Source organism: Homo sapiens, chromosome 12 (genome assembly GCF_000001405.40).
Source record: "Homo sapiens chromosome 12, GRCh38.p14 Primary Assembly".
Lineage (NCBI taxonomy): Eukaryota > Metazoa > Chordata > Mammalia > Primates > Hominidae > Homo > Homo sapiens.
Genome location: NC_000012.12, coordinates 18,443,974 through 18,459,522, shown reverse-complemented (window position 1 = coordinate 18,459,522; position 15,549 = coordinate 18,443,974). Strand labels below are relative to the sequence as shown.

At 36.0% G+C, this 15,549-nt stretch overlaps 1 protein-coding gene and 1 long non-coding RNA gene across 17 annotated transcripts in view, besides 2 other annotated features; one reads left to right on the top strand and one right to left on the bottom strand.

Moving 5' to 3' along the window:
• Positions 1–15,549, bottom strand: part of PIK3C2G (phosphatidylinositol-4-phosphate 3-kinase catalytic subunit type 2 gamma) — a 483,857-nt gene that overhangs the window by 267,295 nt on the left and 201,013 nt on the right. The window lies entirely within an intron of this gene.
• Positions 2,735–3,236: an enhancer, noted in NCBI's record as "NANOG hESC enhancer chr12:18609221-18609722 (GRCh37/hg19 assembly coordinates)". NCBI's record gives its function as "activates a minimal SCP1, AML or CMV promoter by ChIP-STARR-seq in naive H9 embryonic stem cells {active_cell/tissue: H9 hESC(naive)}" and the evidence as "EXISTENCE:reporter gene assay evidence [ECO:0000049][PMID:30033119]".
• Positions 4,749–5,264: an enhancer, noted in NCBI's record as "OCT4-NANOG hESC enhancer chr12:18607193-18607708 (GRCh37/hg19 assembly coordinates)". NCBI's record gives its function as "activates a minimal SCP1, AML or CMV promoter by ChIP-STARR-seq in primed H9 embryonic stem cells {active_cell/tissue: H9 hESC(primed)}" and the evidence as "EXISTENCE:reporter gene assay evidence [ECO:0000049][PMID:30033119]".
• The window catches only part of LOC124902891 (uncharacterized), a 32,969-nt gene continuing 31,042 nt past the window's right edge, over positions 13,623–15,549 (top strand). The window contains exon 1 of the long non-coding RNA XR_007063234.1: positions 13,623–13,658. This is a non-coding gene — a long non-coding RNA (uncharacterized LOC124902891). The remainder of the gene's footprint in view (positions 13,659–15,549) is intronic.

Below are 15,549 nucleotides of genomic sequence, written 5' to 3'. Positions count from 1 at the left end.
ATTCACAGGGATTGATGTATAAGCAGTAGAAAGAATCTTTCACCCTTTCCCATGAACATTTATTTGAGAAATCTGTTGTAGTGAGGGAAGTTTACAACCAAAATAATTAATTGCTTCCTAACATAGGCTAGTTTATTAACTGGTTTTTCATGTAGGTTAGTCTCTTTTACTTTTTCTAAATGCCTTAGACTTAGGTTAAATGGCTAAAAACAACTTGGAGTGGACTGACTTCTGCCAAATGCTTGCTCTTCTATATGCAATTATTTATGAATTTGTAAATTATAATATTTGGGGGTTGCCTGAGGAACAGTTACACACTTAAAAAATTTTAACTTATGATTTCCAGTGATAAACTTCTTAAATCTCTCTTTCCTCGGGCTTCTTTTAGATTTTAATAAGAGTCAGTGCTGACAGTCTTCATTAGTGGCTTAAAACCATGGCTACTTATTGGCTCACAGTTCTGTAAGTCAGAAGTCCAGGAATGGTGTGGCTGGTGCTCTACTCAGGGTATCATAAGGCTAAAATCCAAGTATTGTCCAGACTCATATTTATCTGAAGGCTCTGGGAAAATACTCACTTCTATGCTTGTTGAGATGGTTGGGAGAATTCAGTTCCTGGTGGTTGTAAGGAGAGTCCAGCCCCTCCCCGCTTCCTTTTTTTTTTTTTTTTAAACTGGCTGTCAGCCAGGGGCCACTTTCAGCAACTAGAAGCCATCGTCATGCTTGCTGCATGACCCTTACCATCTTCAAAGTCAGCCACAGAGCATCCCCTTGCATTAAATTCTGCTTGCACTTTGAATCTCTCACTTTGTTTTTTGCCAGCTGGAGGCAAATCTTTGCTTATAAGGGCTCAAGGGCTCTAGTGATTAGTTGGGCCCACTCTGTATAATCTGTCCTTTGCCATATAATGTAACACAATCACAAGAGTGATACTCATCATATTCAGCTTCTTCCCACATTGTAGGGCAGGGGATCTGGCTAGGAGGAGAGTCACTAGAGGCCATCTTAGAATTCTTCCCACTACCTCTACTTAGCATTTAGGACACTGAATTATTTGAAAACTTCATCCAACATTCATATAATATATACAACGAGCATCTGCAAGTTACTAGGCATGGTGCTAAGCAAGACTAACCATGCAATCTACTTTTTCTTCATGTTTTAATCCATGACTTGTCATAGAAGCAAGTTCTTTGGGATATGGGAATATCTTTTGCTCTAAATAACACAGTATGCCCAGAAAATTATTGCTTCACACTAACATTTCTTTCTTCCCTTAGAATGCATAATATATTAAAATGTTTAATCCACTTTTGGAAATGAAAAGCAATTGGAAGACCTAACTGGCCTATCCCTATCATTTCTTCATTCCTTTCTGTCTATAAAACTAACCTAGCTTATGGTGGATAAGATGAAGGTAGTAAATAAGAACAGGAAGGATTACTCCATAAAACTTAAGAAGTTTAAATTTCATTTTTGAACATTGATGTAAAATAAATTGTTATCATTAATAAATTAATGTTAATTAGTTTCTTTAATGTTAAAGAAAGAAGGTTATAAAAGAAGTAGATAATGTAGAATTTTCTATATCTTGACTTAAAAAAAACTATTGTCACCTATTTACATATTTAGATTCTAATTAAATAATACCAAGTGTCTGATTAGGTTTTGGTTATTATAAATGATTACCCCCACTCTAGATTCATGCACAGTCCATATTATCTTTGTTCACATTGACTTTAAAAAGTCTAAGAATAGGCAGTTTACTCTACTATGGCTATCACTGGATTCATTCTGATTGAAAGAGAGTCTAGAATAAAAGATGTGGCCTTTCATTAAAAAAAAATCAGTGCACCTCATTCTTATTTTATAGAGATTGAAGAGTTTCAGAATCAGCACAGATGATTACAGACAGAGAGAGTGGGGAGTGTGTACTTGCTGGAAAATTGCAACACAAAGCCCAAGGGAAATTTTTGGAGTGGTATGAACATACACACATATTCCAAAATCATGATGTGGTTAGGACAGGCAGAAAAGGGCTCACACGGAACTGAGGCCAGTGCAGGTGGCACTAAGAATGGGCTATATTTTTGGTTGTCTACAAGACAATATAATTTTCTGATGGCCAAAAGACACTAAAGAGTGATTGTTAAATTATTAGTACACTGGATGTGTATTTATTTCTTACTTCCTCAATTGCCATCCAAAAGGAAATTCAGAAAGAAAGAGAGGGGTAATATATGACTTTGCAGAATCAAAGGAAAGCACTTAACTATTCTCTGCGAACATCAATTTTATATTTATATGTATTCAGTAATTTCCTATGCACAAACTACACAATACAGTATAATCTGTGTATCTTCCTTCTATCCATTATCCATGGCTCCAGTTTGGTCTTGTCTCCTCCCAGCCAGTTTCTCTATCCCAGTCTACCCTTATTGTTCCTTTTTCTATGTTTCCATTGTACTTGTATTTCACATTACAATGCTTTGAAAGTCACCATTTTTTTTGATGGTTTCAAGATCATTGGTTTTGTCCCTCAAGATTACAAAGTTCTCAAAAATGGAAAACTTTTATATAAAAAGAATGGACTGTCAATCCAGCTCTGCCATTTACTAGTAGTATAAATGATACAGGAGCTAAAAAGAAATTATTTCAGCCGTTGGTGAGAGTAAAAGAGTCCTTGGTAAGGCTTCTCTTTTAACAAAAAGCAGCCCCCAAATTATTTCTTTTCTAACAAAGAGCAGCTTGTAAAATCAAGCTGCAGACATAGATAAGCAAGCTGGAAGCTTGCACAGGTGAATGCCAACAACTGTGCCAATAGGAAAAGGTTACCTGGGGGCCAGGTATGTTCAACCTGGAGGCTCCATCTTCCCTTTTCTTTGTCAACCAAGTGTACAGTAAAGGAACAGGTAACATAGTGCTGGCCAGGTAGGGGACCCATCTGCATAATAAAAGATTAGGTTGGGGCGGCTAGCTTCTTTGCACTATGTAAACGACACACCTGGTCCAACCAATCTCTTGTGCCCTATGTAAATTAGACATGGCCTCCTCAAGCTCATCTATAAAACCCCCTGTGTATTTCACCATGAAACTGGAAGACCCACTTGGGAGCCCCTCTCTTTCTGCAGGAGAGAGAGCTTTTCTCTTTCTCTTGACTAATAAGCCTCCACTCTTAAACTCCAGGAAAGAGAGCTTTTCTCTTTTCTCTCACCTATTAAACCTCCCCTCTTAAACTCCCTTGTGTGTCCGCATCCTTAATTTCCTTGTCATGAGACAGCAAACCTCAGGTATTTACCCCAGACAAACGATGTTGCTTCATGACCTTGGACATTTGTCCAAAATATTTAACATTTTAAAAACTTTATTTATTCCTAAACTTTAAATAGGTCAGTAAACTAACAGATAAACAATTGCCTTTGCTGAGCTCTTCTTGAGAACAAGGACTTGTGTCTTTGTTCTGTAAGGCAACAAGGGGCACATTTGAATGCTTAACAAACATTGCTGGGACTGAATAACTTCTGGGAACTCCAGAATGGTAAAGAAAACAAGTAGAACTGGCATAAGGCGAATGTCATTGACAGATTATGAGTGGAGGCAGACAGTCTATTTTTTTCTTTAAAGGATATAATGAATGCGTGAATGCTATCAACTGAATGTTTGTGTTCCTCCAAAATTCGTATGCTGAAATCCTAACCACTAATGTGATGATATTAAGAGGTGAAGCCTTTGGGATGTGATTAGGTCATGAAGGTGGAGATCTCATGACTGGGATTTGTGCCCTTATAAAAGAGATCCCAGAGAGCTTCTGTATCCCTTTGGCCATGTGAGAAAACAGTGAGAAGACAGCTGTCGGTGAAGCAGGAAGCAAGTCTTCACCAGACACTGAATCTGCTGGTACCTTGATCTTGGACTCTGTAGCCTTCAGAACTGATAGGAATAAATTCCTATCATTTATAAGCCACTTGGTTTATGGTATTTTTGTTATAGCAGCTCAAATGATCTAAGACAAAGATTTTGAACTTAAAATTTATAGCAATTAAAATTCTGCAATTCAAGGGAGAAAATAAAATTTTAAACACCAAAAGAGGCTTTATCAAGTAAAATAATCCTATGTATGTTATTTACATGAGAGTCATTCTTGACTCTTCTCCACCAACCGCCACCCCCCTCCCCTTCCCAACCTCCTGGCATACCTTAGGTGGGAGGCATCTTCTGATGTAGCTCCCAATGATCCCACCTACTGGTGTTCATGTCTTTGTGTAAAACTCTTGCCTAAGTGTAGGCTGGACCTAGCGATTTCTTCCTAGCCAATAGATTATGACAAAGCTGATATAGTGATCTTCTGTGATTAGGTTGTAAAAGGCTCTGACTTTGGTCTTGCTGGTATATTCTTTAGCTATCCTTGTATGTTTGCTTTGATGAAGTGGGCCTCCTGGCAAGGAATTAAATGCTGCCAGCAATCACTTGAGTGAGCTTGGAAGCAAATCTTTCTCCAGTTGAATCTTGAGATGAGGGTAGATCCCAGGTTGACACCTTGATTACAGCCTCTTGAGAGAAAAACCCTGGAGGAGAGAACCCAGCTAAGGGGTACCTGAATTCCTGACCTACAGAAATAGTGAGATAACAAATATGTGTTTCTTAAGTGAATAAAACTTAGTTATGCAGCACTAGATGATGAATATATCTCACATCCAATTCATCAGTAAATTCTGTCAGTTCTATCTTCAAATTAAGAAGAGAAATTTCTAAAATTTTCTGAATTCTAAAATTCAGAAGTAGAATAGAATCTGACTACATCTGGTACCACCTTCAGCTAATGCAATAAAATTTCTCAGCTGATTATTGCAATAACTCTTAGGAATGTGTGACTTTTCTGCTTTTGCCTTTGTCTCCTTAATTCTATTCTCAAAACAGCAGGCAAAGTGATCCTGCTAATGGATTCCATTCTCATTCAGATACTCAGCCACCTTACAAAAACCACAAGACCCTGCATGATCTTTTTCCTTTCCCTGTGTATACCTCACGTGACTACACTGGCTTTTCACACTTCCCTACATTGCTAAGCACACTCTAATACCTTTGAACTCACTGTTTTCTCAGCAGAGAAAGCACCTCACCCAATATCTTCATGGCTGATTCCCTCAAATATCTTTACTCCAGTGCTTTTCAAATAGTTCCTCCCCAGGTGATTTATCTAAAATTGCACTGCCTCCTCCCAACATAGGTCCTTGTTTTGATTTCTCATGAGAGAATATTTTATGCCCCTTATTTATTTATCTTGCTTATTATTTGTTTCCTCCACTAGGATGTAAACTCCATCAGGGTGTTGAGATTTTTATTTTGTTTACTGTTGTATCTCCAATGCATGGGACAAAGCTTAACATATAGTAGGCATTCATTAAATAACTGCTGAATTAACTAAAGAAGCAGATGAATGAATATGACTAATTTCTACTTGGTAAAAAAAACTAGTAGAAAAACTCTGTTTTGAAAAGAAGACGTGTATCAGATAGGTGTACAAAGGCATTTATGTGGCACTTAAAACTACAAGAAGCTTTACATTAATAAAATGCTAAGCAGAGGGGTGGAATTAAGCCAACTTTTGGCTCTTCCTAACAAATGAGTAAATTTTGGCATGGAATAGTCTAAACCATAGATAACTGACAACATTCAAATTAGACAGTGAGTCAGAACACTAATTAAAATTCACGTTTAAAAGCTAATTGAGCTGTGTTCACTTGCATACTTTTTTTTTGATAGCAAATTACTTTCTCTCTCTCTTTTAATTGAAAAGAATAAAACAAAACTGACAGAGGGTCTCTTTTTGTTGTTTAAAAATTACTATTCAGAACACCTGTGAAAGAATTCCTAAGGTGCTTTACAATGTGTTTAGTATTGGCAGTAACCTCAAGATATGAGTGTTCCATTTAACTTGTATGTTGAACCTGAAGCCTAACCCCTCCCCTCAAGATCTACAAGTCAATTATTAAAAGCACAGGTCACCAAAACTTTTCATCACATACTCCTAAGAGGAAAAATTGTTGAACACCTCTCAGATATTTACATTCATTAAAGAGTTGTATGCATACAAAATAAAGGGAGGGAGGAATATTTACCAAGCAAATGAAAAGCAAAAAAAAGCAGGAGTTGCAATCCTAGTCTCTGATAAACAGACTTTAAACCAACAAAGGTCAAAAACGACAAAGAAGAGCATTACATAATGGTAAAGGAAATAATGCAATAAGAAGAGCTAACTATCCTAAATATATATGCACCCAATACAGGAGCACCCAGAATAATAAAACAAGTTCTTAGAGATCTACAAAGAGACTTAGACTCTAATAGTGGGAGACTTTAACACCCCACTGTCAATATTAGATAAATGAGGCAGAAAATTAGTAAGAATATTCAGGATTTGAGCTCAGCTCTGGACCAAGCAAACCTAATAGACATCTACAGAACTCTCCAACTCAAATGAACAGAATGTACATTCTTCTCAGCACCACATAGGACTTATTCTAAAATAGACCACATAATTGGAAGTAAAACACTCCTCAGCAAATGCAAAATAATGGAAATCATAACAAACAGTCTCTCGGACCACAGTGCAACCAAAATAGAATTCAGGATTAAGAAATTCAATCAAAACTGGACAACTACATGGAAACTGAACAACCTGCTCCTGAATGACTCCTGGGTAAATAACGAAATTAAAGTAGAAATAACAAAGTTCTTTGAAACCAATGAGAAAAAGGCACAATGTACCAGAATCTCTGAGACACAGCTAAAGCAGTGTTTAGAGGGAAATTTGTAGCACTGAATGCCCACATCAGAAAGTGGGAAAGATCTAAAATCGACACCTTAATATCAAATCAAAGGAACTAGAGAAGCAAGAGCAAACAAATTCAAAAGCTAGCAGAAGACAAGAATTAACTAAGATTAGATCAGAACTGAAGGAGATAGAGACACAAGAAACCCTCCAAAAAAATCAATGAATCTAGAAGCTGTTTTTTTTTAAAAAAAGATTAATAAAAAAGACAGCTAGCCAGATTAATAAAGAAGATAGAAGAATCAAATAGGCACAATAAAAAATGATAAAGGGGATATCACCACTGATCCCACAGAAGTATAAACTACCACCAGAGAATACTATAAACACCTCTATGCAAATAAACTAGAAAATCTAGAAGAAATGGATAAATTCCTGGACATATACACCCTCCCAAGACTAAACCAGGAAGAAGTAGAATTTCTGAATAGACCAATAACAAATTTAAAACTGAGGCAGTAATTAATAGCCTACCAACCAGAAAAAGCCCAGGACCAGACAGATTGACAGCCGAATTCTACCAGAGGTACAAAGAGGAGCTGGTACCATTCCTTCTGAAACTATTCCAAACAATAGAAAAAGAGGGACTCCTCCCTAACTCATTTTATGAGGCCAGCATCATGCTGATACCAAAACCTGGCAGAGACACAACAAAAAAAGAAAATTTCAGGCCAATATCCCTGATGAACGTCAATGTGAAAATCCTCAGTAGAATACTGGCAAACCAAATCCAGCAGCACATCAAAAAGCTTATCCACTACGATCAAGTTGGCTTCATCCCTGGGATGCAAGGCTGGTTCAACATACGCAAATCAATCAACATAATCCATCACATAAACAGAGCCAATGACAAAAAACCACATGATTATCTCAATAGGTGCAGAAAAGGCCTTCGATAAAATTCAACACCCCTTCATGCTAAAAACTCTCAATAAACTAGGTATTGATGAAACATAAACTAATAAGAGCTATTTATGACAAACCCATAGCCAATATCATACTGAATGGGCAAAAGCTGGAAGTATTTCCTTTGAAAACCAGCACAAGATAAGGATGCCCTCTCTCACCACTCCTATTCAACATAGTATTGGAAGTTCTGGCTAGGGCAATCAGGCAAGAGAAAGAAATAAACAATATTCAAATAGGAAGAGAGGAAGTCAAATTGTCTCTGTTTGCAGATGACATGATTATATTTAGAAAACCCCATTGTGTGAGCCCAAAAACTTCTTAAGCTGATAAGCAACTTCAGCAAAGTCTCAGGATTCAAAATGAATTTGCAAAAATCGCAAGCACTCCTACACAGCAATAATAGACAAGCATAGAGCCAAATCATGAGTGAACTCCCACTCGCAATTGCTACAAAGAAAATAAAATACCTAGGAATATAACTTACAAGGGATGTGAAGGACCTCTTCAAGGAGAACTACAAACCACCGCTCAGGGAAATAAGAGAGGACACAAACAAATGGAATGAAATTCCATGCTCATGGATAGGAAAAATCAATATCGTGAAAATGGCCATACTGCACAAAGTAATTTGTAGATTCAATGTTATTCCCATCAAGCTACCATTGACTTTCTTAACAGAATTAGAAAAACTATTTTAAATTTCATATGGAACCAAAAAGGAGCCTGCATAACCAAGACAATCCTAAGCAAAAAGAACAAAGCTGGAGGCATCGTGCTACCTGACTTCAAACTATACTACAAGGCTACAGTAACCAAAAGAGCATGGTACTGGTATCAAAACAGATATATAGACCAATGGAACAGAACAGTGGCCTCAGAAATAACACCACACGTCTACTACCATCTGATCTTTGACAAACCTGACAAAAACAAGCAATGGTGAAAGGATTCCCTATTTAATAAATGGTGTTGGGAAAACTGGCTAACCATATGCAGAAAACTGAAACTGGGACCCCTTCCTTACACCTTATACAAAAATTAACTCAAGATGGATTAAAGACTTAAAATCTAAAACCATAAAAACCCTAGAAGAAAACCTAAGCAATACCACTCAGGAACATAGGCACGAGCAAAGACTTCATGACTAAAACACCAAAAGCAATTGCAACAAAAGCCAACATTGACAAATTGGATCCAATTAAACTAAAGATTCTGCACAGCAAAAGAAACTGTCATCAGAGTGAACAGGAAATGTACAGAAGGAGGGAACATTTTTGCAATCTACCCATCTGATGAAGGTCTAATATCCAGAATCTACAAGGAACTTAAACAAATTTACAAGAAAAAAGCAAACAACAGGCAGGACTGGTGGCTCACACCTGTGATCCCAGCCCTTTGGGAGGCTGAGGCGGGTGGATCACCTGAGGTTGGGAGTTCGAGACCAGCCTGGCCAACATGGTGAAACCTCATCTCTACTAAAAATACAAAATTAGCCAGGCGTGGTGGCACATGCCTGTAATCCCAGCTACTTGGGATGCTGAGGCAGGAGAATCACCTGAACCCAGGAGGTGGAGGTTGCGGTGAGCTGAGATTGTGCCATTGCACTGCAGTCCGGGCAATAATAGCAAAACTCCATCTCAAAAATAAAAATAAAAAACAACGCTATTAAAAAGTGAGCAAAGGATATGAACAGACACTTCTCAACAGAAGACACTTATGTGGCCAAAAAACGTGAAAAAAAGCTCATCACTGGTTATTAGAGAAATGCAAATCAAAACCATATGAGAAACCATCTCATGCCAGTCAGAATGGCGATCATTAAAAAGTCAGAAAACAGCAGATGCTGTCGAGGATGTGGAGAAATAGGAATGCTTTTACACTGTTGGTGGAGTGTAAATTAGTTCAACCATTATGGAAGACAGTGTGGCAATTCCTCAAGGATATAGGACCAGAAATACCATTAGTGGGTATATACCCAAAGGAATACAAATCACTCTGCTATAAAGACACATGCACACGTATATTTATTGCAGCACTATTTATAATAGCAAAAACTTGGAACCAACCCAAATGCCCATCAATGATAGACTGGATAAAGACAATGTGGCATACATACACACCATAGAATACTATGCAGCCATAAAAAAGAATGAATTCATGTCCTTTGCAGGAACATGGACGAAGCTGGAAACCATCATTCTCAGCAAACTAACTCAGGAACAGGAGACCAAATACCACGTCTTCACTCATAAGTGGGAGTTGAACAATGAGAACACATGGACACAGGGAGGGGAACATCACACATTGGGGCCTGTTGTGGGGTGCAAGGCAAGGGGAGGGAGAGCATTAGGACAGATACCTAATGCATGTGGAGCTTAAAACCTAGATGACGTGTTGATAGGTGCAGCAAACTACCATGGCACATGTATACCTACGTAACAAACCTGCATGTTCAGCACATGTATCCCAGAACTTAAAGTAAAATAAAAAAAATAATAAATAATAAAAATAAAAAAGAGTTATATGCAAACAAAGCTATAATGATCAAAGCAGTATGGTACTGGCATGAAAGCAGAGACATAGACCAATGGAACAGAATAGTGAGCCTAGAGATAAATGCAAGCATATATGGTCAAACTAACTTTAAACAATGGCACCAAGAGGACTCAATACACTGTTGGTGCAAATGTAAATTGGTACAACTATTATGGAAAACAGTATGGAAGTTTCTCAAAAAATTAAAAATAGAACTACCATATGATCCAGCAATCCCTCTTCTAGGTATGAACCCAGAAATAAATAAAGTCAACCCCTCGTAGAGATATCTGCAGTCTCACATTCATTGCAGCCTTATTCATAATAGCCAAGAAATAAAAACAACTTAAGTGTCCATCAGTGGTTGGGGAGGATGGATAAATTAATTGTGGTGGAGATATATCTCCACCACAATTATATATATATGTGTGTGTATAATATATACATATAATTTGTTTCAATATAAGATGTTTTCAATTTGTAACAATATTTCATTATATATATAATGATACAAAATATTATTCAGCCTTAAAAAAGGAAATCTTGCCATTTTCTACAACATGGATAAACTTAAAGGACATTACATGAAATAAGCCAGACACAGAAAGAAAAATACTGTACAATTTTACTTTTATGTGGGATCTAAAAGAAAGTCCAACACATAGCATGGTGGTTGTGGGATGTGGACAGGGAGAGGAAATGGGGCAATGTAGGTAAAGGGAACAGAGATGCAGTTGTATATGCTGCATAAGTCTAGAGATCTAACGTACAACATGAGGACTATAGTTAATAACACTGTATTGTATATTGATCATTTTAAACACGTAGATTTTAAGTGCTCTTATCCCAAAATGGACCATAACTATGTGAGATGATTAATATGTTAATTTGCTTGGCTATAGTAACCATTTCACTATGTACATCAAAACATCATTGTGTGTATATTAAACATATAAAATAAAAACAAACAGAAATGAATTATAGGTATATTCTTTCATACTAATATATTCCATTACAAAACATACACAAACTGAAATCAAATTAAAAAGAGTAAGAGAGAGGAAATACTATTCAAAAATAATTTTATTGTATGTTTTAATCAAAAAAGCACTTTTTGCTCTAACAATTATTATTAATTAATACTACTTAGTGAGAGTTATGTTATTGAATATTCTTCGTTACATTTTAGGACCTTAGTTTACATTTTACACTACTGAGGTCTCATTCCAATATTTGATTTCCTTAGCTTCATTGCCAGGAAGAATCTATCACAAAGATGCAGAGACCCAAGTGGAGGAAATCCCCCATAATCTGCATTAATGTTATTGATGTATTCTCAATGATAATACTTTTAAATAATACCATCCAACAGTTAAGCAAACATTTTTAACAATTTTGCTTAACATTTTCAATATTACTCAATAGCTATCAGTTGTTCTTTCATACTAGTGGAAGCTGTTGCACCTTTATACTTTTAAATTCATTATTTGAAAGATTCTACGACAGAATAGAAAATTTTGTCTCCAAGGTTTAAAAGTACACGATAAAAGATTTTTTTCAGGTAATATTTTTACATATTTTTAATTAACAAATCCAGGTAGTTATGAAAACATATCCAAACAAACATAACATTTTCAGAATACTCCCTCGTAACATATTCAGAACAAATAATATTTGCTTTTCCATTACCGTGAAAAATTACCTTTATCTTGAAGGGGCACCTGACATGAAGTGCGTGTATCTGTGTGTTAATAGGATATATGCCAGGTGGCAACCCACTAGACATCACAAGAAAGGCTGCAAATTTGAAACTTTTATTTTAAAAAGAAAATGCAAAAATCATTCTTAAGTTTGACAACTTGTTTGAGTGTTCTGTCACAAGATAACCACTGAACATCTGTCTGGACAAAAATCTGTCATGGTTACTTTCTATTTATTAAAAAGTCTTGTAGTGTTCCTGCCATTCAGAATAACACAAATCTACCTAACTGGGCACAAGCAAAAAGGGCCACTGTCAATTGCTGCATATTGTGGAACTGCCACTCGTGGTTCATAATATCACGTGGCCCTGAGTAAAAAGTGATCATCTAACACACGAACCAAATAGGGGTAACATGACTATTCTTATATTAATCATGAGGAAGTTATTACAATATTTAGTTCAATATCTGTATTCAACCTTTGAACAAAGGTGAAGTAGCTTGGAGCAGTGGGAAGAAACAGAAGTATAAGATCACCACCTATAAGGAAATATCAATATATTTTCATCTCTTCTAAATAAAAGAATTTCATCGGACTCTTTCTACTCTCTATTTTATAGCGTGTGTGGCATTAAATAGCGAGATGCCTAGCAATCAAATTTAAAAGAAGAAAAAAGTGAAGGAAAAAGGCCTTTGAAACCAGTAGACTGTATATATACAGAAGTAGACAAAACAGAGTGCCCTTCATTTTGAATAAAGACTCTATTTTGACATACATATTCTCTTGAAGTTAATATAAAACTTCTAACTATGCTTTTGTGCATGGTTCATGCCAATGATTAAATATTCACTTTTAATCATTCCTATGTTAATTATAGCAAAACAACAACAACAATAGCTGCTTCCTCCACTGTAACAGGGTCTAAACAGAAAATGCACCATTCAAACAACTTGAGGAAGGTTTAATGGGACTGTTAAAAAAGGTTGCAGGGAGAAAAATCACACGGTATGGGTGGTACATTGGGGCCAGTGACAGTGATACTGTTAGCACTGAGGCCTGAGGTGTGGGACTTCAGGAATGAGTCAGCGGCCATGAAGGGAACAGTGAAGACACAGCCAAATGAAGGAGAGTCCCACAGTTAGGGAGGCAGAGAATACATACCATGAACTCTCTTTTTTTCCCTGTAATCTCCTGCTGAGACTGCCAATTGGCTTATCCAACCAAAAGCCAGGGGCAAGAGAGACTCTGAATGTTGTCCACGGAGGTGAACCTCCAGGGCAGGGGCAGGGAAATGGTGGAGTGGGTCTTAAGAGGCAAACAGAAGACATCTGGCAAGATCATCTTCAAGTTCATTCCCTTCCATATGATTAAAATAATTAAGTGGCAGATTGGCAGGGTCTAAATTCTGTGTTTATATAAAAAGATATGGGGAGATTATACAGTCTGTTGCTGTTGCTCTCAAAACATGGCTAATTATAGGGTTTTCAAAAATTATCTACTTTTCTTACTCTTTTAAATAGGCAATGTATCTAGGTTACAAAATCCGAAAGATGCAAATGAGACTACAATGAAAATTAAGTCTCCAGTCCTCCTCTCTCTGTGCCCATTTTCCCCTCGTTAAAAAGATTGCACCTAGTTTCTTTTGTATCCATTCAGAGATGTTCTATGCAATTGCACTCAAGGTAAGTAAATAAATATTTCTTTTACGTGAATAGTAGAATATTATACACACAGACTGCATATTGCTTTTGAAATGTAATAATACATCTTGGGATGGTTTACAGTTAGCATGTAGAGTGCTTTCTAAAGTAAATAAGATTTTATTTGGATGAGTATAACAAAATCTTTTTACCAATTCTACATTGATGAGTATTTGTTTTCATTTTTTTTACCACCAAAACTACCATGAATATTATCATACATGCATCATTTTGCACATATCTTAGTAGATCTGTAATTAGCATTTAAAAGCAAAATTGCTTTGTGAAAATACATGTATTTTAAAATGTAAAAGATAACTGATAAACAAACCTCCACAACATTTTAACAATTAAACTTCCATCTTCAATTTGCGATTCTGTTTCCCCACATTTTCACTAGTAGGCTGCCACCAATTTTTTTTTTTAATTTTTGCCAATCTGATAGGTGAAAGCAGTATATGATTATATTTTATAATTCAAGTTGAATACCAATTCTTGTGTTTAAGAACCATACACAGTATATATTTTTAATGGAATTACTTGCTTATATTCTTAAACCACTTTTATGGGTTTGTAGGGGTTCTGTGTTAATTAAAGAAATTAATTCTTCACCACTGAAAAGATGATATACAACACCTATTTATTAAAAAGTATTTTCCTAATATAAAAAAGTCTCTGAATTTTTCTTTTGGTATTTTCATTGTTTCTCTCTTCTAATTTTTTAAATATCTGGCTTGTACTAGCTTTGGATCCATTTTTTTCCCCTCAGCTGGCCATCCAAACACCATTCATTAAATAATCGATCTTTCCTCCACTGATTTAAAATTTTTTGAAAAACTATAAATTCTTGAAGATAATCAAGTATATTTCTGGTCTTTTCTGCTTCATTGATCTTATTTGGCAGTGTTCTTTTTTGGCAAGTATCATATAGTTTTAATTATGGGTAAGGACAAAAACTGAACATAATTGTACTAAAATTATACAAAAGCATCCACTGTGATAGAGAATGTGTATGAACATATCAAACTTAGGACATAACCTGAATGGATTCTTTGGGTTTGGCTGAAACGAAGGGACTCAGAAATATTTTTAATACAAAGAATAATTAAAAGTATCCAGTTTATGTTAGATAAAACGTCAAATCAGTTCAATCCCACTGAAGGAAAAGAATGAAAGAAAAAAATAGTCATTGTTGATATTGTTGTTATTTGTCATCATCATCAGCAGCAACAGCACCACCACCATTTATTGACTAATTGTTATATTCAGGATATAATTACTATTATCCGCATTCTACAGTATGGAAACTGAACTTCAGGGAATTTAAGATTATTCAGCAAGGAAAGGTCAAAACCACCATTAAGTTTGTGGTCTGCCTGATTTTGCAGCTCCAATTCAATAAAAATACTGATAAGTATTTACTAAATATATTAGGCTAAGTGTGAGAATTCGTAAGATGCAGACATACATGTAAGACTAAAAACATAAATACCAAACAATTGATAAAGACAAAATATGATACAGGATTTCAGCAGAGTTGGAAATTCTCAAGATTGGAGTTGTTCAGGTGAGACTTCATACTACTGATAAGACTACTAAAGGCCCAGGAGGTAAAGACAGGGGTGGCCGTTCCAGGAAAGGGCACTGAATGCCAAACATAACATTATAGAGGGAAGATGGCTTATAGTGTGTTTGGAGGAGAATGGGTGTATAGATTTTACTGGAATGGGAACTTTAATATTCATTGATTTGTTTACATATTTATTTTGTAATAGAATAGTGCCTTGGCACTCTCTGATTGACAAGAAGAAAGCCAATATTTGTTTCTTGCCAGATAAAATACACTCAATACACGAGAGCATGAGTCAGGCCT